Source organism: Homo sapiens, chromosome 1, assembly GCF_000001405.40.
Source record: "Homo sapiens chromosome 1, GRCh38.p14 Primary Assembly".
Classification (NCBI taxonomy): domain Eukaryota; kingdom Metazoa; phylum Chordata; class Mammalia; order Primates; family Hominidae; genus Homo; species Homo sapiens.
The window spans coordinates 157,922,026-157,949,138 of NC_000001.11; the positions used below are offsets into that span (position 1 = coordinate 157,922,026).

At 42.8% G+C, this 27,113-nt stretch overlaps 1 long non-coding RNA gene and 1 pseudogene across 1 annotated transcript; both read left to right on the forward strand.

Moving 5' to 3' along the window:
- Positions 3,038 to 3,325, forward strand: LOC100996284 (Fc receptor like 4 pseudogene; annotated as a pseudogene).
- Positions 3,942 to 27,046, forward strand: LOC105371458 (uncharacterized). Its single transcript, NR_135760.1, has 4 exons — positions 3,942 to 4,019; positions 7,506 to 7,766; positions 23,631 to 23,736; positions 26,444 to 27,046. It is a non-coding gene; the product is annotated as an uncharacterized LOC105371458 (long non-coding RNA).
- Positions 27,047 to 27,113: the final 67 nt, after the last annotated feature.

A 27,113-nucleotide genomic window follows, 5' to 3' on the forward strand; every position in this document is an offset into this window, starting at 1 on the left:
AAGATAAGGCCAGGCGCAGTGGCTCACGATTGTAATCCCAGCACTTTGGGAGGCCAAGGCGGGCGGATCATAAGGTCAAGAGATTGAGACCATCCTGGCCAACATGGTGAAGCCTTATCTCTACTAAAAATAGAAAAATTAACCTGGCATGGTGGCGCGTACCTGTAGTCCCAGCTACACTAGAGGCTGAGGCAGGAGAATCGCTTGAACCCAGGAGGCAGAGGTTGCAGTGGGCTCCGTAGGAGCGTTGTTTGTTATTGATGGAAGGAAGAAAGGAAAGAAGGAAGAAGGAGGAAGAGAAGGAGGGGAAAAGAATAGAAGAAATGAGGGAGGTAGGATATAAGGGCAGAAAAAGTGGAGGTGGGGGGAAGAAACAGAAAGAAAGTTGGGGAAAGATAATTGTTGGAAAGTTCTCAAAGGGCTACAACTTTTTAAAGAGAGTAAGAATCCTGGTCCTGTGGTAACCTCTCTGACTCTGTTCCCTCATAGCTCCTGTCACCTTCCAGTCAGGTGAGTGGCTCTTCTCTTTGTTCTTTTAGATCTCTAGGAATCACACTCACTCTGCTAGGTATGAGAGGTACTTCCAGTTCTAGCCTCTTGGCTGTGGGCTGCAGGGATTTGGGCCAGAACTAGGGTGAAATGAGCTGGGGTCCAGTGCTTTACTCACCTCCCTCTAGTCCTGGCCATGGCAGGGACACTCCAGTATCACATTCTTCTCCGCTTTGCCACCTCCCTGCTTGATGGGCAAGAAGACCATGCCCTGACTCTCTCAAGGCAATGAATTATCCCTTTACTATTGAGCCTTGGGACAGAAAAGGAGAAGATAACTGTGAATGGAAAGTATATCATTCTCCTGGTTCTGGCCACAGGTGCTCAAAGGCCCCCACTGGAAGCACTGGAGGCAACGATGGGAAACATATTTATACTAGAGTGGCAACTAGAGAGCTAAGGAGATGCTCTGCATTAAATAAGAATGCCCCTGTATCTTTTACTTGGATTGTAAACTATCAAATACCTAACTTGTTTTTCTTCTTTTTACTGGAATTCTAATATAATACAGAAAGCTTGGTTTCATATTAGACTGGAAAGTTATATTTTCTTCTTTAATCATGTCTATAATCATTCTATAATCACCTATAAGGGAGGTGATGCTTGTGTACCTAGCTTGTAATTTTAAGCAAGAGTGTTTTTAAAGTGGCTGGGGGAGGGTGGTCTCTGGAGCAGTGTCATGAGATCCAGCAAACTCCCTGAAATTATGACAAAATGTGTATATATGCACAATTGTGCCTTCCACTAGGGAATGAGCCTATAAGTAAATGTCAAAAGTTAAAGGCCACCTATCCAGGCAATTATAGTCAAATCCTTGTTCCAGACTCAGTAATAACTGGTGCCAGCATTTCTTATCTATCTCTAGCCCTGTCGTTATTATCAATTTGATTACAAAAATCTTATTCCTCAAATATTTCCTAAATCAAACTGATTGCATCTTCCTCATCTTCACTGAAAATCTTGCCCAGTCTCAATATAAAGGAAGAGAACATTTGGCCTCCAAGAGGGCTTAGCACTGCTTTCTCGTTATCAATACTTATGGCTCCCACTGTCCACACCTACTTTCTATTCTAATGGTAGAACTTTCAAAGTGGTTAAAAGGTGTAGAACAGTTGTCTTTAAACTTATCTGATCACTTGTGCTATTGAGAACAAAAATTTTGAGCATGTACCTCCAATGTATTATACAGACACTGATACAAATCCTACATTGAAATGTTGTGAATGTGCTAAAATATACACAAAACAGAAAACTTTTAAGGTTAAAAAGTGTTTAATATAATCTGGAAGTTCTCAATGCCTTCTCCCCACTTCCTTATGGATCCCATTTTGAGGACTGTGGATGTAGATCTGGTGAGAGGATGGCCTCTCTTCTGAGACAGGACCCTGGGAGCTACCCCTCCTCCATGGTCTCATGGCTAGAGGGATAGGCTGGGAAGACAATCTAAACAACTTTCATGCCCTTTTTCTGTATTCCATTCTTCCCCCATGTATGACACTGTCTTTCATTACACTGAAGTTAATGATTGAAGGTTCAGGCCTTGGGGTTAGGCTTTTTAGCAGAATGACAAACATTTTTCCAAAGGCTTAAATGCCAGGTCTGAACCCAAGCTGTTATTCTCAGTTCTGGAATAACCCCTTTGATACTCATAAATATCTGGAGAGGAGAAGATTTAAGGAATGTTTACAGCTGTACATGACACTGTTCAGAGCAGTTTAACATTTAGTCCTAGTAGCAACCCTATGATACAGTACTACAAATAGCACCTGTAAAGTAGGTAGTATTATTATCTCCATTTTACAGATGAGGAAAGAGAAAGCATCGAGCTGTTAAGTGGCTTGCCCAAGGTAACTCAACACATAGAGCTGGAATATGAACCTGGTCACTCAGGCTCCAGGGTATGTGCTTTTAACCACCTTGCTACACTTCCAATCTCAACTGTGCCAGTGAAGAGTGGTACCAATAATAGCTACCATTTACTGAACCTCTCCAAAGTGAGGGGTACTTGTATCGCATTTCATCTCCATGAGAACTCTGTAAGGTAGACATGATTATTCACATTTTATACTTGAGAAAACTGAGAACCAGAAATAGCAATTGATTTAGCAAGATTGAGATCCAGAGATAGTAACTGAGTCCATCCCCCTAACCCATGCTCTTCCTACCACTCCTGCTGCCCATGTACATCTGGAGATCAGGAGATGATGAGATTTCTGTGGGCTGCGGTCATTCCAGAGGGCAAAAGAATGTGGAGGAAGTGCAGGGTAGGATTGTTATGGAGCATCAAACAGCAAGGTGGTCCTGTGTAATGTTCCTCAGCGTGCTCTCTCGCTATTAAAAACACTCAGGCAAGTGAGGTGGACCCTCTACCCAAACATTTAGTTCCACCAACCCCACTTGCCTTAATGCCCAGCAGGTGATACTGGCTTCCATCCAGCCCTGCCCTCCTTCACAGCTGGCCCCTCCCTGTGGTCTCATTTTTACATAGGGATCCCTGTGTCTGGGGTGCTCCTGGAGACCCAGCCCTCAGGGGGCCAGGCGGTTGAAGGGGAGACGCTGGTCCTTGTCTGCTCCGTGGCTGAAGGCACAGGGGAAACCACGTTCTCCTGGCACCGAAAGGACACGCAGGAGAGTCTGGGGAGGAAAACTCAGCCTTCCCCAAGAGCAGAGTCGGAGCCCCCTGCCATCAGGTAGAGCCATGCAGGAGGATACTACTGTACAGCAGACAACAGCTACGGCCCCGTTCAGAGCACGCTGCTGAATGTCACTGTGAGAGGTGAGCGGCATGGTCTGAATCTGCTAGCCGGCGGCTCCCTGCTGGGGTCAGTTTCCTTCTGTAGCAGCGAGGATGCTCCAAGGTGACGACAAGAAACAGGGCGTGAGGAGGGTAAGAGGCCCTATGGGCACTGTAGTCTTGTGATGGGGGAGGTGGTGGCAGCGGCAGCGGTGGCAGAGAGCTAGAGGAGGGTGAGAAGGTGGACGCGGGGCCATGTATCCCGAGCTCTTCACCAGAGCCCAGCACAGCTCTGCCGGAAGCACCCCTGCAGGGTTAGACCAGCAGGTGCGAGGTGCGACGTGGGAAAGAGTCCAGGGCCGGCGGGGTGCTATGAGGCGAGGACTTCCTGAGCCGAGGACCGGGTGGGTTGTGAGTTGCGACCAGCCTCGCTGACGGACCCTACTACCTCTTTCAGTTCCAGTGTCGCGTCTTCTCCTCAGCTTCATTGCTCCTGGCGCCCTGGCCTTCATTGGCCATGTGGTGGAGCTTCACTGCGAAGACAGGAGAGCGTCTGCACCCATTCTGTTTTGGTGTTACCATGAAAATGTGACTCTGGGGAAAGCCTCAGCACCTTCTGGAGGAGGAGCGTCCTTCAACCTCTCCGTCGCCGCAGAGCATTCTGGGAACTACTCCTGTGAGGCCGACAATGGCTGGGGATCCCAGCGCAGTGAGGTGGTGGCACTCACGGTCACAGGTGGGACATGGCAAACAGCTCCTTCCAGAGAGCTTGTTGCAATTATACCAAGCAATGGCTGGTGCTTCCTTTCCTTCGGAAATTTCTGCTCCTCGAGGAATCAGAGTTCCTCTAGAAAGCGCCTTAATGCTCCAGGGCTCTCCCTGTAATTGGGTTTTTTGTTTGTTTGTTTTGTTTTTTGTTTCGGCTTTTGTTTGTTTGTTTTGAGGCGGAGTCTCGCTCTGTCGCCCAGGCTGGAGTGCAATGGGGCAATCTCGGCTCACTGCAGCCTCTGCCTCCCGGGTTCAAGCTATTCTCCTGCCTCAGCCTCTGGAGTGGCTGGGATTACAGGCACCCACCATTATTCCCAGCTAATTTTTGTATTTTTAGTAGAGACTGGGTTTCGTCATGTTGGCCAGGCTGGTCTCAAACTCCTGATCTCAGGTGATCCACTAGCCTTGGCCTCCCAAAAGTGCTGGGATTACAGGCGTGAGCCACCGCGCCAGGCCTTGTGTAATTGATCTTAACAGCAGCATTGCTGGCGAACCCCTGGTCTCTCCTGTTCCCTTTCACTGAACTAGTAAAACGTGTGAAATAGATACTGGGTATTGGGCACTGTGCTAGGGTCAAGTCAGCGTTGGGAGTCAGGTCGGTAAGGCAAGAAGAAAGGAGGAAGACTTCCCTGAGAAAAATAAGGAAGTATCTTGCACATGCAGAGCTCCAGGGAGGGAGGAGGTACAACTAACCCTTGTAAATACAAGTAGAAAAACCGTGAACAGACTAGATTCTGGGATTTAAAATTTTACTAGAATTATCTCACTTAATCTCCATAACAACTCTCATTTGACAAATGAGGAAATAAAATTTAGATTAAGTAACTTGCCCAAGTTTACATAGCAAATAGGTACAAAGATGGAACTTTAGGCCAGGGCTGCCTGAATCAAGAAACTGTGCTCTTAGCCACAAAGTTAATATATTATGACCGTTCTGTACATTTTTTTCTTCAATCCATTATTGTGGAGAACTGCATTAATAGATGTCCTAATACGGAACAATCCTTGAATTTCCCCTATAAACCCTTCTTAGTCATTGCAGGTAGTAACTACATAACACTTGCTAATATTTTATTTTAAATTTTAGCATTTTGTTTATAAGTGAGTTTTCTTTTCTAAATTCTACTCATCTGGTTTAGGTTTCAGGGATAGGTTAGCCTCATAAGAATAATTTCAGAAGTTTCCATAGTTTCTGTGCTCTGCAACAATTGAAAACAATATTGGAATTATCTGCTACTTAGTCTTTGGAACTAGCCCAAAAACTTTCTGAGCCTGGTGTATTTTTCTCTCCATTGTCAGATCTTTTTTTATTCACTTTTTTCAAATTTTTCACCCTTTTAAAACACAATTTGAATTCTTTCACTCAAAAAGTTGGGCATTTTCTCTAGATTTTCAAATTTGTCACATAATGTTGACCATAGTATTATTTTCTTCTTCTTTTCCTCCTCCTCCTCCTCCTTCTTTTGACGGAGTCGCTCTGTAACCCAGGCTGGAGTGCAGTGGCACAATCTCGGCTCACTACAACCTCCACCTCCTGGGTTCAAGCAGTTCTCCTACCTCAGCCTCCCAAGTAGCTGGGACTACAGGCATGCACCACCACACCCAGCTAATTTTTGTATTTTTAGTAGAGATGGGGTTTCACCATGTTGGTCAGGCTGGTCTGGAACTCCTGAACTCAAGTGATCCACCCGCCTCGGCCTCCAAAAGTGCTAAGATTACAGGCGTGAGCCACCACACCCAGTCAACCACAGTATTTTCATCTAATTTTTTAAAGCCCTCTAGTTTGTGATTGTGTCCTTCTCATTTCTAACTTGTTTGTGTGGTCTCTTTTCTCTTACCAGATTTGCCAGAGGTTCAGCTGTTACATTGCTCTTTTCAAATACCTAGATTTATTTTTATTGTACAAATAGAAAATTGTTTTATCATTCAAATATATTTGGTTTTGGTTTTCTAATTCATTTATTTCTCCTTTACTTTCAGTATATTCTTCCTTCTTTTTATTTTAAGTTTATTTTATGTTGCCTTTTCTTTAATTTCTTACCTGAAATGCTTATTCATTTTTTATCTTTGTTTTCTAATGAATACATTTAAAACTGTATGTTTTCCTCTAAGTACACTTTCACATTATCCTAAAAGTTTTAATGAATATTTTCATTTGTTTAATATCTAAAGTGTGTGTATAATATATGTTTTCATTTGTTTTTCAACCTGGCAAATTATTATAACTATTATAAAATAATTTCTTATGAATAGATTTTTTTCATCCTTTATTTTCTTAGTTTCTCATAAAGTTCTTTGTTATCCTTGTATTTAACATTTTTTCAAAGTGGCCTGTATAAGTTTTACTTTTTGGGAACTTAGTAAGAATTTCTTTATGGTCTAACATATAGTCAATTTATATAAATATTCTATACAGAAAGTGAAAAGAATATGAATTTTCTGTTAGAGGTACACAGTATATATTTTTCTATAAAATTAAGCCAGTTGCTTGATTTATTCATTCTCTGTAGAGTCTTACATATGTCCTGTTTAATCTATTAATTTTTGAGAATAATATTCCCATTATTGTCTATAATTCTGTTAAGTCTACCTTTTCCCAGGGGCTTTGCTGTGATCATAGTAATTGTGTGAGATGGGGCATTTTGGTTGCAAATGACAGAAGTCCCATACAAACTGGCTTGAGGGAAAAAAAAAAGCAAAGTTGGTGAGAGGGGTCAAGAATGGACAAGGCTTTGTGTGCAAGTGGATGCAAGGTCTCTGTCTTTGTTGTCCACCTTCTTTCCTCTGCTTTCTGCCATTAGCTTCATTCTTAGACAGGCAGAGCTGGCCACTGATAACTCTAGGCTTACATCTCTCCTTTCTGCTAGAGATCCTAGAGAAAAGAGTTTCTTTCCAATGACTGTAGCTTAAAACCATAAAAACAAGACAGGCAGATGTTAGAGATTAACCAGTCCGTGTAAATGTGTCCATCCAACTCCTACCACCCCCTTCCCCAGAGAAAATGGGCCTGCCATTGGTGAAGTCATCAGTGTCATACAGAGCAGTTTTTAAAAGGAAAATGCATAACTCAGTTGACCTTAGGCCTTTCCTACTCTAGGCCTCAGTCTCTATCTCTAGGAAAGATCTAATTCTAGCCTTCTCTGTTTCTAAGCTTTTTTGAGCTTGTGAGAACCAAACCATAAGTCTCTATGTCCCCACGTCCCTTTATCGTCAGAGTGGAAGCAAGGGCTCCTTTTTAGGTATCATTGAGTGGGGGGCATTGGTGGGGCGAGATGCTCGTAAAATGGTGATTGGGATAGGGCAGATCTGAAGCTCTGTACTTCCTTATTTTTGCAAGTACCCTAAGCCCACATCACACAACATCACCAACACCAACATCAAACAACCTCTCTTAACACTGGGAGCTGCTTTAAGAGTAAGTTCCTGAGTGTGCTCTTACCTCTTCTGTTTGCAGAGCCCCCGACCAAAGTCCGTTTGATTAATGGTCCTCACCACTGCAAAGGAAGAGTGGAAGTGGAACAGGAAGGTCACTGAGGTACCGTGTGTGATGACAGCTGGGACATGAAGGATGTGGCCGTGGTGTGCCAGGAGCTGGGCTGTTGAGCAGCCAAGCACACACCTGCTGGCATGTTGTATTCAAGAGTGGCAGAAGAGGCCCAACCTGTGTTCATTCAGGTTGCCCTGTGCCATAGGACAGAAGAGGCACTGGCTGAATGTGAGCAAATTGAGACCTTTGACTGTGGGCATGAGGAGGATGCAGGAGCAGTGTGTGGTGTTGGGTAATGGCAGGGCTTGGGGAGTGGTATTTGTGGGCTAGCCCATCTCCAAGATCCTTCCTTGTGCTGCCACTTCCAATTCTCCTTACTACTCACCATTGCCCCCTCCTTCTTCAGAACCACTCAACCACTCTACGCAAAAATGTGCTCAATGCAACACCATTACTTCACTTAAGCTGGTCCAGAGTTAAAGGGCTCTCCTATAATCTATGCTAATATTATTAGACTTTATCTGTCATCTCAAAAGACAAAACACTGGTATTTTTTGTGACTGTGGGTTGAGGCATAATGCTAGGAAAATAATTATAAAATCATAGAATTATACAATTTGAGTGATTTTCATCAAGATCACACTGCTTATATTGTTCTATAATCTCTTCAGCTTTTCTCAGCTCTCTCCCCTAAACAACTCTGCTCATCAAAATGAATCTCTGGATTCTAATAGGGACTAGGAGGAGTTGGAAGAACACAGAGTCTGTCAAGAAAGCCAGGCCACAAGCTGTAAAAGACAGAGCTACCTAAGGGTAGAGGTAAAATGAAGAAATTCTGGGACCACTGCAGGTTCCAAAGCCTCCATAGAGCCTTGACTGGAGTGGAAGCCAGTAAGATTGACTGCTCTCTCTAGCTGCAGCCCCAGCCCCAGGCTCCCATGGAGCCCTCCAGTCCCATGGGCCAGAGCTAATGAGTGGCCTTTCAGAGGTCCTTGGTGAGAAGAAAAGTCTTTAAAACACTAGGCCAATGCTGAGCTTTAGGACCTAGTAAGAACCTGTGACTTGTTCAAGGAAATTGACTCAGTACTGGGCACTAGCAAGGATCCAAGATTTGGAGTCAACTGTTCAGAGCTAGAGGTTTACCTCCCTGACTAGCCAGCCATGTAGGTAGCAAACTTTTCCAAAGCTTATTATCTTTGTCAGAAAAGTGGGATACCATCTAGCCAAATTTCCTCACAGAGTAGGACAAGATCAAGCAAAACACACTCATAAAGACCTCTTGTGGAGCAAAGTCTGGGAAGAAGTCCCTGGGCTGCTTTGGGATGGTCCGGATGAGGGGATCCAGTCTGAGGCTTGGGGCCAGGATCCATCCTTAATCTGGGCCTCTCTTCTCCTGGGAGATCTTATAAGCTTGCCTGAACAGTACTTTACTGGGTCTCCCCACCTTACCACCTCTCCCCCTTTTCTCTATAGCATTCTTGCTTAATACTCTTTGAAGATCTGGAGACTGGGGATCAGCAGGCCCATATCCTCACTGGCCTCACAGGCCTGGAGAGCACCACAACCCCAGATGGACTTTAAGACTTTACTTGTGGCTCCCCCATCCCCTCTGCAGGACTGTAAACACCACTCTCCTGAGCCAGTCTCAGCCCCACCTGCATTAAGGGAAAAACCCAACTCCCAAAGAAGCTGAGCTTAGTGAAATTGTCCCCCACATTGGCATCTTGGCCAAGCAGGCTTTTCTAGTCTTTTCCAGAAGTGCCTGGCTGGGAATCTCAGTTACTGTCTCCTTGGCAGCCTGAGATGGAACAAGCAAGAAATAACCTGAAATGGGCCCTACATCTGGTAGAAATGTGGACATATAAAACAGACAAAATTAAAGAAAATATGGGTATTTAATCTCCTTTCTTTTTTTTTTTTTTTTTTTTTTTGAGACGGAGTCTCGCTATGTTGCCCAGGCTGGAGTGCAGTGTCGCAATCTTGGCTCACTGCAAGCTCCGCCTCCTGGGTTCACACCATTCTCCTGCCTCAGCCTCCTGAGTAGCTGGGACTACAGGCGCCCACCACCACGCCTGGCTAACTTTTTTGTATTTTTAGTAGAGACAGGGTTTCACCATGTTAGCCAGGATGGTCTCGATCTCCTGACCTTGTGATCCACCTGCCTCGGCCTCCCAAAGTGCTGGGATTACAGGAGTGAGCCGCCATGCCCGGCCTTAATCTCCTTTCTTAATGGCTTGGAAATAAACTAGGTTTTAAAAAAGTTATTTTTTCAATTTTTTAAAAATTACAATGGTAAAACACATTGGAAAAAAAGTGGTATAGAAGAAAGAAAATAAAAGTCAGCCAAAATTCTAACACTCAGAAGTAACTGCTGTTAATGTTCTGAAACTTCCTGAAGGTCATATAAGGAATAAAAATAACACTTATATATTCTTCAGTAAAATAATATATAAGCATATATTAACACATATATTTGAATTTATTGTACCATAATCTATATATTATTTTAGTGTTTATTCAATTTAACAATGCAACATTAGCAGACATTCCATAGATATAGAAAATACATACCACATGCACATATATGTATATATGTATGTATGTGTATTTACAAAACTTCCCTCTCAAGAAGATAAATATTGATTCAAAAAGGCCCTTTACTAGCTTTGGGAGTGCAGACTTAAGGGAAGGTAGAAGCCACATGCTTCATGATGCAACACACTCTATGAGTCATCAAAACTCATTTACTGTTTAATCAGAGGTACATGTTGAATTTTTAAAACATCTTCCCAGTGTTATTTTTGTTTCCTTTTAACAATATGGTGGATTACATTAACATCTCCTAATAATAAATAATTGTTTCAACCCTACCTGGCTGTGATGTATATTAACATCCTGCTGAATTCTCTTTGGTAGTATCTTATATAAGACTTTTACACAGATATTTATTTATTTATTATACTTTAAGTTCTAGGGTACATGTGCACAACATGCAGGTTTGTTACGTATGTATACATGTGCCATGTTGGTGTGCTGCACCCATTAACTCATCATTTACATTAGGTTACACAGATATTTATAATGAGGATTTGTCTGTAGCCTTTCATTCTTTCTTTGAAAAACTTTGATATCAATGCTATATTGATTTCTTATTATGTTAAAAGAGTTCTTTATGCTTAAAAACAATTTGAATGCTACTAAATTTTATCAATTCCCTTGAAGATTTTTAAAAAGTTACCATGAGGCTGGCAGCGGTGGCTCACGTCTGTAATCCCAGCATATTGGGAGGCCGAGGTAGGCAGATCACTTCAGATCAGGCATTTGAGACCAGCCTGGCCAACATGGTGAAACCCTGTCTCTACTAAAAATACAAAAATTAGCTGAGTGTGGTGGTGGGTGCCTATAATCCCAGCTACTTGGGAAGCTGAGGCAGGAGAATTGCTTGAACCCAGGAGGCGGAGGTTGCAGTGAGCCAAGATTGCTCCACTGCACTCCAGCCTGGGTGACAGAGTGAGACTCTGTCTCAAAAAAAAAAAAAAAGTTAGTATGGAATCATCTGCCCTGATATGTTTAGAGGTGTGGCTCCCTAACAGTGCTTCAATTTTTTTCATGACTATTATTCTTTTTATTTAACTGTCTCTTCTTACATAAAATTTAGTAATTTATATTTTTCTAGAAAAGTATCCATTCAATGTAGGTGTTCAGATGTATATTTATTCATTGCCACTCCTTTCTTGATTAGGCTATTCAGTGGCATATCAATATGCTTTTCATGGAAAAGCTTTTGAGTTTATTCATATTCCTTATTGTGAGGGTTTTTTTTATTTTACTCATAATGTCTGCCTTCATCTGAATTATTTTGTTCATATTTTTGTAAGTTCTTAAGATTAATACTGGGTTCATTTATTTCCATTTTTTCTTGGTACTCATTCCAACTGTTTCATTAATTTTCCTGAGAACATATTTTAGTCATATCCTTCAGGTTTGGATATGTAGTGTTTTGGTTATTACTATTTTCAGTCTGCAACATCAATTTTATTTTCTTCTTTGATCTCAAAGTTGATTTAAAGGGTATTTTTTATTTTTTATTTTATTTGGTTTTTTTTCTTAACTTTTATTTTAAGTTCAGGGGTATATGTGCAGGTTTGTTATATAGGTAAACTTGTGTCATGGGTGTTTATTGTACAGATTATTTTGTTAGCCAGGTATTAAGTATTATTACCCAGGTATTAAATATTATTTTTCCTGATCCTTATAGAGGGATTTTTTTTTAATTACCTGGTGATAATCTTTTCCCCTAATTTTGTGATTTAAAAAATTCATTGCATTTGTGATTTTTAAACATTTTCTTTGTGACCTAAAATATGGTTAGTTTTTGTAGGTGTTCCATGAGTAGTTAAAAGAAAGTGAATTCTCGGCTGGGCGCAGTGGCTCATGCCTGTAATCCCAGCACTTGGGGAGGCCAAGGCGGGTGGATCACGAGATCAGGAGATCGAGACCATCCTGGCTAATGCAGTGAAAACCCGTCTCTACTAAAAATACAAAAAATTAGCCGGGTGTGGTGGCGGGCACCTATAGTCCCAGCTACTTAGGAGGCTGAGGCAGGAGGCTGAACCTGGGAGGCGGAGCCTGCAGTGAGCTGAGATGGCGCCACTGCACTCCAGCCTGGGCGACAGAGGGAGACTCCGTCTCAAAAAAAAAAAAAAGAAAAGTGAATTCTCTGTTGCTAGGATCTATTGTTCAATATGTATCTATTAGGAACTTATTAATCATATCACTCAAATCATATGCTTCCTTATTTTTTATCCACTGGATCTTCTAGGTCTACGGGTGTCATTTGTTATTATCATTGTGCTCAAGTTTGTTTCTGTTTTTATTTCTGTTTCCTCCAGTCTATGTGTCGGTTATTTTGATGCCAAGATATTCAATTTCAAAGATTTTTGAGGCCTAGAGACTTCTCATATATTTTAACCTCCTCCACTTTCATTTGGTGCTTTTTGCCTTGATATGACTTTGTCCTTTTTTTTTTTTTTTTTTTTAGAGACAGAGTCTCGCTCTGTCACCCAGGCTGGAGAGTGCAGTGGTGTGAACTCGGCTCACTGAAACCTCTGCCTCCTGGGTTCAAGAAATCCTCCCAAGTCAGCCTAGGATTACAGGTATGCACCACCACACCTGGCTAATTTTTTTTTTTTTTTTTTTTTTAGAGATGGGGTTTCACCATGCTGGCCAGGCTGGTCTCAAACTCCTGTTCTCAGGTGATCAGCCTGCCCCAGCCTTCCAAAGTGCTAGAATTACAGGCATGAGCCACCACACTCAGCCTTCCATTCTTTTACTTTTAACTTTCCTGAGTCACTTTCTTTAAGATATGCCCCTTACACGTAATGTAGAGTTGAGTTTTGGTTTTGTACTGAATATAAAATTATTTTATTTTATTAAGCGTGCTTGCCTTTTTATGCTGTGTTATCTGTTCTCTTCTTAATGCTTCGTTTGTTTTTTGTTTGTTTTGTTTTGTTTTACTTACTCTTCATTTTGTAACCTCAGACATAGAGTTAATCCCTCAGTTCATGGCTCACTCACTTTATTGGTCCATATGAATTTTCGCTCTAGTTTATTTATTTCCTTGTGTCTTTACTTACTATTTCCATTTCCCAGCCTCCCAATAACTTCATGATGATACACATACATGTATCATTTTCCTTGAGACTTTTTAATTTACATATGTTATTGGGCATTTTTCTCTTGGCACTATGTTTTGACCCATCTATTTTGTTATGTGTACATCTAGCCCATTGCTCCTAACTTCTGCAAGTTGTTCCACCATGCTTCCCTTATCTAATCCCAGTGAAGGATATCTAGATTGTCCCCAACTTGTTACTACTACAAACACTGACACCTGCTTTTTCATGTCACACCATAGACCTGTGTGAGAATATCTCTGGATATATACCTGAGAGAGTGATTGATGGAAGAAGTAATGCCAAGTGGTCCCCAAAGTTACTAGTGCCCCCAACAGGGCAAGAACATTCCCTAACCCCACATCCCACTCAACCCTTTAGTGTTCTAACTTTACCAATCAGATGAGGATAAAGAGAGATCTCAGAGATCTAATTGGTGTTTTATTTCCATTTTTCTAATTATCAATAGGCATAAGCATCTTTGCATGTGCTTGTTAGCCTTTTGAGTTTCCTCTTCTATGAAATAACCATTTTGTGCCCTTTGCCCATTTTGTTAATATAATTTCTGGTTTTTCCTATTTGGTATATAGGAGCTACTGCTTTTTCTATATAAGTTTCTTGCTTGTTTTAGGCTTTGCAAACATTACCTCCTACTCTACCATCAGTCAACTTTGTCCATAGTGTCTTTTATTGAGCAGATTTAAAAAAAAAAAAATTAAGCTATAGGCCGGGTGCGGTGGCTCACACCTGTAATCCCAGCACTTTGGGAGGCCGAGGTGGGTGGATCACGAAGTCAGGAGTTCAAGACCATCCTGGCCAATCTGATGAAACCCCGTCTCTACTAAAAATACAAAAATTAGCCGGGCGTGGTGGCTCACACCTGTAGTCCCAGCTACTCAGGAGGCTGAGGCAGGAGAATCACTTGAACCCGGGAGGTCGAGATTGCAGTGAGCTGAGATCGTGCCACTGCACTCCAGCCTGGTGACAGAATGAGACTCCGTCTCAAAAAAAAAAAAAAAATTAAACTATAGAACTCATCCAATTTTTGCTTTTAACATATGTTTTTAGAGTTTTGTTTAGTCCCTCTTGACTCCAAAATCGCAAAACTTCCCTTAATTTTATAGTTTTACTTTTTATGCATTGGATCTTTTGGAGTCCAACTTTACATTTGATATTAGGTATAAGTCCAAATTGTTTTCCCTTAGAGTAATCTAGCACCATGTACTAAATAGGCCAGGTCATGCACTCCCCATTATTTTGTGATGTCAACCTTAAGTGTGTGTGTGTGTGTGTGTGTGCACCCAAGGTCTATGATCTCTCTACTCTGTTCCACTGATTTATTTATTTGATCTTGCACATACATTGTACTGACTTAATTGCCCTGGACTTCTGATCTACCTTAATATCTGATAATATAAAACCACTCTTTGTTCTTTTTTATCAAAGTTAACCTGGACTTTCATAGATTTTTATTATTCTATAAAATTTTAGAGTAAGTATATTAAATGGCTAAAAAAAATCCAGGTGAACTTTTTATTGGGATTTTATTACATTTATAGATTAATTTGAAAGAACACAGGGAGAAATTCCTATCACATCCTCCATTCAACTCACTTATTTGGTTTGTGCAAATGACAGGTGTATTTTGAAGAACAGCAATTGCAGTGGCTGCTCCAGATGTGGTTTTGTTTGACAGAGCAAATCATCTTGCTACTAGCACTCACCATGCAGCTTTTGACCTGGAAAATGCCTTTTTTTTAACCTCAATTCCTGTTAATTGAGACCACCAGAAGCATTTACAATACACTTTATTGTCCTAACTTTGAGCTATATCAGCTTTTCAGCCCTCTGTCATAGAATCACAAAGACCTTGATCAGTTTCTCTTCTTCATAGGACATCACACACTCATCCATTAGATCAATGGCATCATACTGATTAGACCAATTGAGCACAAAGCAGCAACTCTAGACATCTGGGTAGGAAATATACATGCCAGAAGGTGGTAAATAAATCCCATTTTGGTGAAATTTCTAGTGGTCCAGGGTTCTTAGACATGTCAAAACATATTTCCCAGGGTGAAGGACACGTTTTGTAGCAAAGCCATGTCCACCTTTGTAGATATCTAGTCTCCTTTTGAAAACTTAACTTCTGACTTGCTACTAAGTCCTAATAGAGACTGAACCCTTGACCATGGGCCACAAAGTTGCATGTGACCTTAGCTGCCTATCATGAAGTGGTGTTATTTGACTTAGTAAACCAACATGTTGGCATGCACAGAAGCACTCCATTATTGTCCCCTGTGGCAAAGAGCAGAGCAAGGGCAAGGTGGAAAATGGATCTGAGGGCAAAGAAGCCCAGGGTCAATGCAACAAGCAAAGAATTTCTCTCCCCTAAATAAAAGAGAATATGTTGGGACAGTGAGGAATGAGAGGGGTGATGGAATAAAGAATCTGTTTCAAATAGAATTCAAGTGAGTTTTACTAGAGAATGCAGATTAATACCTGAAGAACCCTGCATATTTGCCTTTTTCTCCAAGTAAAAGAGGAAACTCAAGTTAAGAAAAACCCCACTTCTGAATGAAGAATGAGCTTGGAGAGGGAAAAGCATAAGTTTCCATGGGAGTTGTGGCATCCCATGAAAAGTGGTCAGGCAGATGGGTCTCCAGACAGAGAAGTGGTCAGGCAAATGGTTCCTGTGGCTAATGTGGAAGCAGAACATCTTCAGGCACATTGAGGGCTGTGCCTTCTTCTCCTATAGACTCAAATTAGAGGAACTTGAAAAAAGTGAACAGATTGATCTCAAGGCCACACAGTCTATCTCTGATGGAGACACCGCAGCTCTGTGATACCTGGAGGCTCGGGTAAGGAGGAAAAGTTATGAACTACTCTGACTTCCTTAAGATGAAAGAAAGAGTTTTTATTTTAGTAAAAAAAAAAAAAAAAAAAAAAAACCTCAGGCTTTGACAAGTCAATCACAGACCCTAGTGACAAACTCAAGTACCACTGCAGGACATCTCAAAATCTCAAAAACTTCTAAACAATGAGGCTCAAAGCTTAGGGCAAGGCTAACTCTCTTCATGGGCCTGGGCTGGAAGAGGGAGTGGACTGGTTTATAGAGAAAGAGGTGCTGACAAGAGAAATCTCTTTGATTAGCACTCTCCCAGATTAGTCTCCTAAAGAGATATGTGAGCCATGGGTCGTTGTGTCCCACGGGCTGTATGGCCCATGTTCTAGTGCTGAGGACACAATGCAATTCTTACCAGAAATTTGAGCTCATTGCCCTGGGAAATGTGTTTGAATCTTCTCTAGAACTTATTCAACCTTCTGTCCCAAAAGCCAGATACTAGTATCCCATGGAGGAGAGCTCAGGGACCAAATTCTTCCAGATATGAGAGACTCAGCTTCATTTTGGCTTATTTAGAAATGGCAGAGCTCTTAGAGCAAAGCTGATGCAAGTCCAAGAGCTTCACAGTCTGGAGACAGAAAAAAATTAAAGGTTCTTTGTGTACTGATGTCAGAGGGAGAACACGAAGGACACAGGGTATAGGAAGAAAGTCAACAACCCCAGATTCAAGTAAATAATGAGTGTCAGAGGGACCTGTCTGCCAGTTTGAGGGCTAAGCAGAAGGGAAGGGAAGGGGACAGATATTTGTTTCTTCTTTTCTATTTTGTTCCTAGAAACAGGGTTCCTCTTGAAAGCAGCTAGGTCCATTAGTCATCCTGGTGTCCTCCATTTCCCAATGATGCAAAGAACTGGGATGGTTATCATGATATTCCATAAATCCCAAGCTTTATAAGGCCTCTACATCTCTATATCCTTCTTCTTCCAGTCGGTAAAACCACCAAATATTTACACTAGGTAATTATGGGGTGCCCATCAGCTAACCATAGAGGTTGTAGGGGAAGTCAGTAGGGTAAGTGAACTGATCTCTTCTGACACAAAGCTGATAAACAACTGGGAAACATGGTCTACAAACCTGGAACAGTGCAAAAGAGAGAGATTAGTATGGGCTGAAGCAGAGAGAAGACAGTGTCAGGGAAATCATTATGCTCGAGATAAGTCTGTACACATGAGAAGAAAGGGGGATTTATGATCTTCGGTAGTGATCTTCAAGTCAGGGTTAATATCCTCCAGTATCCTCCCTCAGAGCTACCCAGTGAGCCCCCAGACACATGCCCTATGGTGTGTCAGGATTTGCCCACCCTAACCTTTCTGAGTTCCCAAAGTGATCTGCATCTGGAGGCCACATGTTCCTGCATGAAGAGGCAGGGATTTTGCCCTCCTCCACAGAAATATGTTCAAAATTGACTCCTATTTTACGTAATGGATTCTGTGATGCGCCACCCAGATCCCCTGTCAGGAATGGACTTATTGTCCCAGCTGCTAGAATTGCTGCCAGCAGATAATCCTATTATAAGCCCTCTTGGGAAAGGCTTTGGCCACTCCATCCAGGGTCATCCTCCCTTTCCAGAGCATTGTATCCAGTGGCTGTCCACACTAGGGTATAAAGGCAGGGCCCCTAAATCTCAACCCAGGACCACTTTGAAAGATCATCCTAGACTCAGGGTGTCTATAGGGTTGGCTGAGACTTTTGTGGAGATGGCATCAAAGCCCAGCTTCTCCTTCTGTACAAAGTTGTTTCCTTCCTTTCGAGAGTTTTTGATACAGAGATCACTCCATAACAGATTTCCTACATGTTCATTTCTATCTCAGCATCCGCCTTCCTGGAAACCCAGCCTGTGATATCTTGTGTTCACTCAGGGGTCCCCGTACTTACATTGACCATGAGTCCCAGCTCATTTCCCTCCCTAGAGTAGGGTGAGTGATTGAATAATGCTCTTCTTTGGCTCCTTGGTGTCTAAGGTCCGAGGGGACACCACATTCTCCTGATACAGAGAAGGCACAGGGAAGGTTTGGAAAAGAGCACTAGACATTCCCAGAGAGTAAACAGATGACCTCTGTTGTGAGTGGGGGTGATGCTGTTCAGCTGCGAACAGCCAAGGCTGTATGTTTAGTGGGCAGGTAAATATCAATATGAGAAGGATATTTACCTTCATTCATCTCAACCAGCAAATCTCAAAGTATGGTCAATATCCCCAGAGGCATCATGAGAATGTTTCAAGGAGGACCCAGAAGCCAACCCTATGGAGAACAATTAGCCACTTTATGTGGCAGAGCCTGGGAGATAATTTGCCAGCTCCATGGTGTTGCTATTGCTTTTGGTGGTGGTGATGATGACGGTACTACAGAGTCCTAGAAGGATAGCCATGAGGGATTTATGGGAACTGAGGATTCAGGACAGGTGTATGGAATGTTGCTTAAAATTCTTCAGAACAGCTCTGGGGGTGATTCTTCTGAACGTAAGATCAGGAATATGGGGATGTTAGATATGAGAATGGGCTGTTTACCTGTTCTAGCCTCCTTGAGTAGATGGATTGATGGGAAGACTGTGGAAGCAGCAGGGGCCTTCTCTGACAGTCCCATTTTCTCTGTCATTTCCAGTGTCTAACTGTCTCCACACTCTCAGAGCTCCTGGGGTCCAGGCTGACATGGGGGAAATGGTGGAGCTTCACTGTGAGGCCTGAAAAGGATCTCCCAATCCTGAGCCACTTTTTTAAATTTTATTTTTACTTTTGGAGACAGAGCCTTGCCCTGTTGCCCAGGCTGGAGTGCAGTGGTGAGGTCTTGGCTCACTGCAACCTCCACCTCCTGGGCTCAAGCGATTCTTGTGCCTCAGCCTCCCAAATAGCTGGGATTACAGGCTCCCGTCACCATGCCAGGCTAACGTTTTGTATTTTAGTAGAGCTGGGTTTTGCCACGTTGCCCAAGGTGGTCTTGAACTCCTGAGCTCAGGCAGTTTACTTGCCACAACCTTCCAAAGTGCTAGGATTGCAGGCGTGAGCCAAGTGCCTGGCCCCTGAACCACACTTATCACAGGGATGTCCCCTTGGGCTCAGCTCCCTCTGGAAGAGGAGCATCCTTCAACCTCTTTCTGAGTACACAGCATTCTGAAAACGTTTCCTGTGAGGCTGATGATGGCCCCAGGACCCAGCACAGTGAGGTGGTGGCACTCTTTGTCACTGATTGGCTGCTCACCTGTCATGGGCCATAAGCCACTGAGCTGAAACATACTTTCCAACCCCATGGTTCAAAACTGCTTTCTGATTCCAGAATATATAACAGTGTTTCTGATGAGCTACCTGCCTGTGGGATATCCAGGAACAGAATTTCTCAGCATGGTAGTTCTACCTTGTGTCCTAACAAAGTTTCCAAAAGGATCCTTTAAGCCTGGGAGGCTGAGGCTGCAGTGGGCTAACTGTGCCACTGCACTCCAGCCTGGATGACCAAGCAAGACGGTCTCAAAAAAAAAGTTTCCCTAGTCATGCTTCCCTATGTCAGTCAGATTTCAATAAAAGAAACAGACCTACTAGGCAATATAAATAATAAGGGATTTATTGTAGGGATTTGGCATTACACAACTGTGAGATATAGTTAAACAGTCTACAGAAGGCTGTTTCTTCTGTGTCTGGTGTGGCAGCCTGAAGTCCACAGGGCAGGCATTTGGGAAAAGCAAGGATAACCTGGAACCTGCAAGAATGAATGGAACCCATGAGCATGAGCTGGAACCTGCATTAGTCTCTCAGCATCTCCAGGTGACAGCCTCAATGATGAGGATGTCCTGCTTATCAATGAGGACAATGAGGATGTCCTCATCAATGATGAGGATGAAGGTGGCACCTTTCACTACTAAGCGAAACATGAATGAGGCCAGGAGTCAGAGAAGCTGAAGAAGACCCTGCAGAAGCTTGAGTCGCTGCAGGCTGCTACCCTATGCCAGCACAGTGAGCACAGTAAGCTCTGAGAGTCAGCTGCAACAGGGCCTTGGGTGTCGAGGACTCTCCAGGAAAAACAAGTACATGGCTGCTACATCACTTCTACCTTCCAAATCTTGCATAAAAATGTCTCTTGTGGCCCATAGTAATTTGGAACCATGCAGGGCAGGGAATTCTAGGAAATGTAGTTCCAGTTTAGCTAAAATGACACAATAAAAGTCCAGCACGCTTCCTATCCTACACTACCGCTACTCATACTTTCATTGGGAGAAAGCACTATGTGATGGCAATATCATGAAATATGGTAGTCAGATAGACTTAGGTTCAAAATACAACTCTGCCAGATATATGTCTTTAGGAAAATTTACAAATCTTGCAGAGCCCCTCAGCTTCCTCTTTGATGACATGGGCATATTAATTCCTATTTTGTTGAATGGGAGATGGACTTAAATGTAAACACATTCCCTTACTAAGTATTTGTTCCCTTTCTTTTCCACAAATTTTTGGCTCTCTCGGAGGGTAGCAAGGATTGAATAATATCTTTATTGCTCGATCCATACCTCATGTCCTTTCCTTCTGACAACTTCTCAGGACTTCACCACATTCTGGGGAACAACAAAAGGAGCACATCCTGTATCACTCAAGACCAAGCCATGGTCTTCTGTGTGCAGTCCTCAAGCCCACCCAAAGAGCCCTTAGAAGTCTGCATCTCATAGGCCTCTGTTCCTTGTGGACTTCCCAATGTGGCTGGGCCTTTGCTGCCCGATGGACTTTCAGAAACTCTGTCTGTTTCCTCTGGCCTTTGGTGGATGGATTTTTCTTTAGATTGTTGGTTCTCCATTTTGCTGCACATTGGAATCACCTGAGGAGTTTTCTGAAGTCCTGATATTGGAGTTCTACTTCCAAATTCTCTAGGAGTCTGGGGTGATGCCGGGACATCAAGATATTTTCCTTCAAATTAACCCTCAGGTTATTACAGTATTCAGACAAACTGAAAACTACAGCCTTAGTCTTACAGGCCCCCTGCATTGATTGCTGCCCCTGTGAAGAAATGTGGCCATGTTCATTATGGTCTTCCTCTCTGCTACTGATATTCCTATTTTCTTTGGATTCCAGAATAAAAATGATGGGTAAATTATGTTTGGTATTTTTTCTAATTGCTAGAGCTGCCATAACAAAGCACCATGGATAGGCTGGCTTAAACAATACAAATTTTTTTTCTTACAATTCTGGAGACTGAAAGTTCAAGGTCAAGATGTTGGCAGGGTTGGTTTTGTGAAAGTTGTCAATATCAAGATGAAGTCACTTAGGTCACCCTAACAAAAAGTCAAGATTTTAGGAACGGAAGGCCTTCACACACACATTTATGATAAGAACTAGCACAAAGACTGTCTGGAGGGCTCTTATGCACACATACCTGTCACAGAGCTTTTGGTAAGGACTTTCTAAACTGCAGCTTGCTACAAGAGTCACAAGGACAGCCAGTGAGATGCACAGGAACACTTGCCTGACACACTGCCTCCACTAATGAACTGGTGTCAGCTCCTGTGATGTACATGTACTCCTCCTTTTGCCTTTAAAAGCCTCCCCTTGCCTCAACCACCTCAAATACGCCCATAGTTTACTATGGCACACGTGTTCCACATTGCAATGCTTCCCCCAACTAAACTTAGTACTTTTAGAGGTCTCTCTATATTTGTTATTTAGGTTGACAGTTTCTTCAGAGGCCTCTCTTTTTGGCTTGTTGATGGTCACCTTCTCCCAGTGTCTTTACATGGTCTTCCCTCTGTGGGTGTCTGTGTCTTAATCTCCTCTTTTTATCAAGATACCAATCATATTGGATTAGGGCCCACCTTAATGACCTCATTTTAACTTAATCACCTCTTTAAAGACCTTATCCCCAAATACAGTTGCATTCTAAGAAAGTGGGGGTTAGGACTTCAACACATGAATTTTGGGAGCATAAAACTCAGCCCATAACAGGCCTCTTCTATTATATCTTCTTTGACCAATTTAAAGCTTTCTCATGAGCACCTAACATCTGACTACAGGAGTCTGATACAGGCCCCATGCTTTCCTTCTCTGCAGTAATTGACTTAGTTTGCATCCTCAATTTTCCTAGTGACTTTTCTCCCTAGCTCCCACAGTCAGGGCTCAATCTCACTCTGACCTCACATTTGCTCCCCATCCTCGGAGCTCTGTCCTCCTTGGACTTCTTTCTCCCTTTGCATTAAGTGCTTCTCAGGACTTTATTCTTCCCTCTAACTTTTCTACTCCCAAGAATCACATCACCATCAAAGCTTTAACTACGGCTTCCAAGAAAATAATTCAAAAATCTGTATCTCCTCTCTGGGCTCCAGGTTGGTTTTTTAAAAACAGCTTTATCGAAGTATATTGACAAATAAAAATTATGTATATTTAAGGTGGGCAACTTGATGTTTTAATATACATGTACATTGTGAAATAATCACCATCAAACAGTAATCAAATGAAAATAGTTAACATATTATGTCACATTTTTTTCTTCTTTTTTTTGTGGTTAGAATACTTAAGAGCTACCCTTTATCAAATTTCAAGTATGCAATACAATTGTTATCCATAGTCACAATGCATGCTGCTTATCAGATCTCCATCCTGAGCTTCAGGTTTAAAAACTTTTCCACTACTAGAGATTTCTGTTCCATGGTTACTTCAACTCAATCCATCTAAAATCAAAAACTTCTTCTTCCACAGAACTAGTTCCTTTCCTCATGTTCTATTTCTGTCATAGATTTCAACATTCTCTCACTTCCCTTTCTTTACTGCCAGTCAGCAAGAACAGCATCTATCATTACCTCCTTATTGTAGGCTCTCATAATTTTCCTTCGTCACATTTCTCCCCACTTTCCTTTACCATTGTCACTCCTGGAAAAGTGTTCTCACCAGCATAGAGGCTGAAGCTCTCTCTCAGGAGATCAGAGAGTAGAGTCTGACTGTGGTCTCGGACACCTCAGAGCTCCCTTGAATAGACCTGCCCTCTTCCTGTGCAAACAGAGAAAGAAACGCTTTCTTAAACAGAACTTTGCTCCTCATAATTCTGCAAGCAAACTGCACCTGAATGGACACCCAAAGGGAAAGCAATATTTTCAGCACTGGTGGAACACTGCTAAACTTCTGCGGGATGTTCAGAACTGACCTATCAACCATAAATCCCTTGCGGCAGTTGTTATTAAACCTCTATTATATAATATGCTTGACATAAGGCATAGTGGGAGAAAGATTAATCAGACATAGTCCTTTACTCTGAGGAAACTGCAGAAATTTGTATGAGACACATATGTAGAGTCCTCTTTGAACAATACATTTACTACTATGATGGAGGTACAGTCTATCATTATAGATGGTAAGTTTTATTGAAGTTCGCTATAGATTGAATGTTTGTGTTTCCCCTGAATTTATATGTTGAAATACTAACCCCTGAAGTGACAGTATCAGGGAATGGGGTCTTCGGAAGGTGTTTAGATCATGAAGGTGGAGCCATCATGAATGGTATTAGTAACTTTATAAAAGAGATCCCACAGAGTTCTCTTCTCCTGTTCACTAGGTAAGGACACAGCAAGAAAATGGTTGTCTATGAACCAGAAAGCAGGCCCTCACCAGACACGGAATCTGCTAGCACCTTGATCTTGGCCTTCTCAGTCTCTGGAACGGTAAGATATAAATGTTTGTTGTATATAAGCTACCCACTTAATGGGAGTTTGTTATAGCAGCCTGAACAGACTAAGACAAGGTTCTACAAAATTACTAAGAATAGCTCTCTTAGGGCTTGCTATGTGCCCACAGTGAACTGTGCAACTTTACAAGCATTATCATATTAATATTTAATCCTCAGAACTACCCTCTAAGGATGATAATGTTCTCTCCCTTTTATAAAGTCAGGAACCTGTTCAAACTCTCCTAACCCAAGATGATGGGGCTGGGGTTCACACTCAGGCCTGTTCCCCACACTGATAACCACTGCTCTCTCTAGCCTCCCCAAAAGGTACATTTTTAATTGGGCAGCTTAAGAAAAGTTCAGTGTATGGCAGACAGGAATAGGATATTACCACTTTGGATGGGCAGGAGAAAAGCCACAGGCATATGAGACATCACAATGTGTTTAGAGATTAGTGAGTAAATTGATATAGAAACACTAGAATGGCTTGAAAGAGACACTGGAACATTGCACCTTGACTGTAAAGGGCACTGAATGCTTCAGCAAGGAGTTATTTTGTTAGTGCCAGGAAGCCTCTGAGGTTGCTTAATCTTATTTTCTGACATTCCTGTTGGTGGGTGTATGAAGGAGCATCTGAAGGGTAAACAAACTGATGAGGAGGTTGGGAACATGGAAGAGAGACTTCCCACACTCCATACTTTTTCCATGCCTAGGCTGGCACTGCAGAGTCCACGAGACCCCATTACAGTCTTCATACACTAACCCACGTTAACCCATGTTTCATCTATGGGAGGAAGGCACCAGCACAACACACACTTGGAAGATTCCCTGACTTGCTGGGCAGTCAGGCATCGGACTCAAACATCAGCACAGTTTTGGGATAGGGCAGCTTTTGGGACAGGGCAGCAAACAGTGGGCACCACAGTCCCCTTTCCATAACCAAGAAGACTCAGAAATCCCAGAGAATTAATTTTTACTTCCTGTATTTAATCAAAGCAATTGACCTATCAGGTGTGTGACAAATCTTTGAAAGAATTGACCTGTTTTTTTTTTTTTTTTTTTTTTTGAGACGGAGTCTCGCTCTGTCGCCCAGGCTGGAGTGCAGTGGCGCGATCTCGGCTCACTGCAAGCTCCGCCTCCCGGGTTCACGCCATTCTCCTGCCTCAGCCTCCCGAGTAGCTGGGACTACAGGCGCCCGCTACCACGCCCGGCTAATTTTTTGTATTTTTAGTAGAGACGGGGTTTCACCTTGTTAGCCAGGATGGTCTCGATCTCCTGACCTCGTGATCCGCCCGCCTCGGCCTCCCAAAGTGCTGGGATTACAGGCGTGAGCCACCGCGCCCGGCCAAGAATTGACCTCTTATATACATCCTTCAAGAGTGAAGGGGAGATACCAGATGTCTTTTCCATAACAAGACTCAACAAGACCATTTTCCTACCTCACTTTTTTTTTTGCACAAATGTCATTGCAGAGCTTTGTTCTGCTTCAGGAGGATGATTCAGAGAGAAGTATGGTTTTCAAGTCAGACAAGGATCAAATCAACCAGAAATTCTGAAAACAGCAGCCATGCTGTCTTTGCCCATTCAAGGTTTTCCATGTGCAACTGATTGTTCACTTGTTATTCAGAAACAGACTGCCAGTCTCACCCTTAGCTGGGCTCTGACAGCCAGGACCCGAGGGTCCTCTATTGTGAAACTGTCCTCCTCCAGCACTTGCCATGGTGGACGGCCCATATGACCATAAGATCTAGTAACTCAGAGCTTCTCAACTGAAGTCACCATGCAAGTAACAATTGTGTTTTGACAGAGAAGGAACAAGGGGGATTCTAGACCAGCTAGCAGGTCCAAAGGGAAGAAGTTTTCATGGGCTCTGAATATTGAAGCTGGAAGGAATCTTAGAGACTAACTTGGTCAAGGATCATCACCTTTGTGGGTAGAAAGACAATACTAACCCCAAAAGCATCATGATAGACCATAAGTCCTACTGATACGTGTGGGGAGGGGACAAGAAAGATGTATCGGGCTTGTGAGTCAGTGGAACCTCCCCATGATTGACCCTTTGAATTGCTAGATGGATCTGAGGGTACTATTATCACCATGGCTACCAGCTTGCAATAGCACCATCAAGGACCCTTCCCTCTCTAGATGAAGAAAGTGAAGGCCAGAGAGATGAATTGACTGTCCCAAGCTCACATTGTTTTGTGGGAGCAGAGCCAACACTAGTCCTGTAACATCCCAAAGTGCTTTCCAGCATTTAGGATACTTTCTAATCAATCATCTGGATTGTAAGCTCCATATAGGTACTGTCACATCTGCCTTCACCACACCATCCCCAGCACCTGACAGAGGTCCTGGAATATAGCAGAATCCCAGCAGATGTTTGTTGACCAACTCTCATATGCCCTTCATGGGAAAAGAATAGTAGCCAGCATTAATGAGAACTTAACATATGACAGGAAGTGTTGAAGGCACTTTATTTGTATTAATTTATTTAACCCTCAGAATAATCCTGAGACAGTGTTTTTATCATCTTTGCCATCTTATATATGAAGACAGTGCAGATCAGGGAACTTCAGTCCATTGCCCAGGTTTACACAGGAAGCAGCAAACCTGTGACTCTAGCCCGGGCAGAATATTCCAGGTCACACTCTCTTAATCACCACAAAATACTGCCTCCTCATTCATCTCTTCTGTGTCCCCAGCCCTAGAAGAGTGCTAACATACTCAGCACTCAATAAATATTCGGAGGATGAAATGACACGCCGGCAGACAAGAACCCACGTCAGCTGCTCTTCCAGCATCAGGCAGTCCTGCCAGAAGCACCATACAGGTGGCTGTTGTTCCAGCTCTGAGTAAGGCAGCCAGGACCCCTCTGGCTGTGAAGAAGGGCTAATTTGGTTCTTCCTGATTGAGGCTAAGTCTTCCTTCATAAGCCCAGTCTTTCAGAGCAAGCCCAGCCTGTTAGTAAGGAGTGCCCTCTGCTGACACAGACACATTCCTGCTGTCTCGATCCCTGGTGTAAATGGAAAGAGACCATCAATGTTGCAGTGTGAGCTGTGAGAATTCAGCCAGTCCCAGCCTGAGCCCTCTGGCTGGGAGGGCTTCACCTTCTATTGCTGCATCCAGATTAATTTTAAGGTCAAACCAGATGGAGATTTGTGGTCACTGAGTGATGAGCACCCTTTAGCCCTGTGTCCAGTTGCCTGTCTACTCTCCAAGCTGAGATTACCCCTCTGCCCTCTTCCTGTTCCTCCCCACTCTAAGATCCATGTTCAAAGTTCCCATATAAATTGTGTCATCTCATTATCCATGCAGGGCCTTTGTTTTCCTGACAACTGAGTTTCTGAGATTCTCTTTCCCACCCCCTTTTCT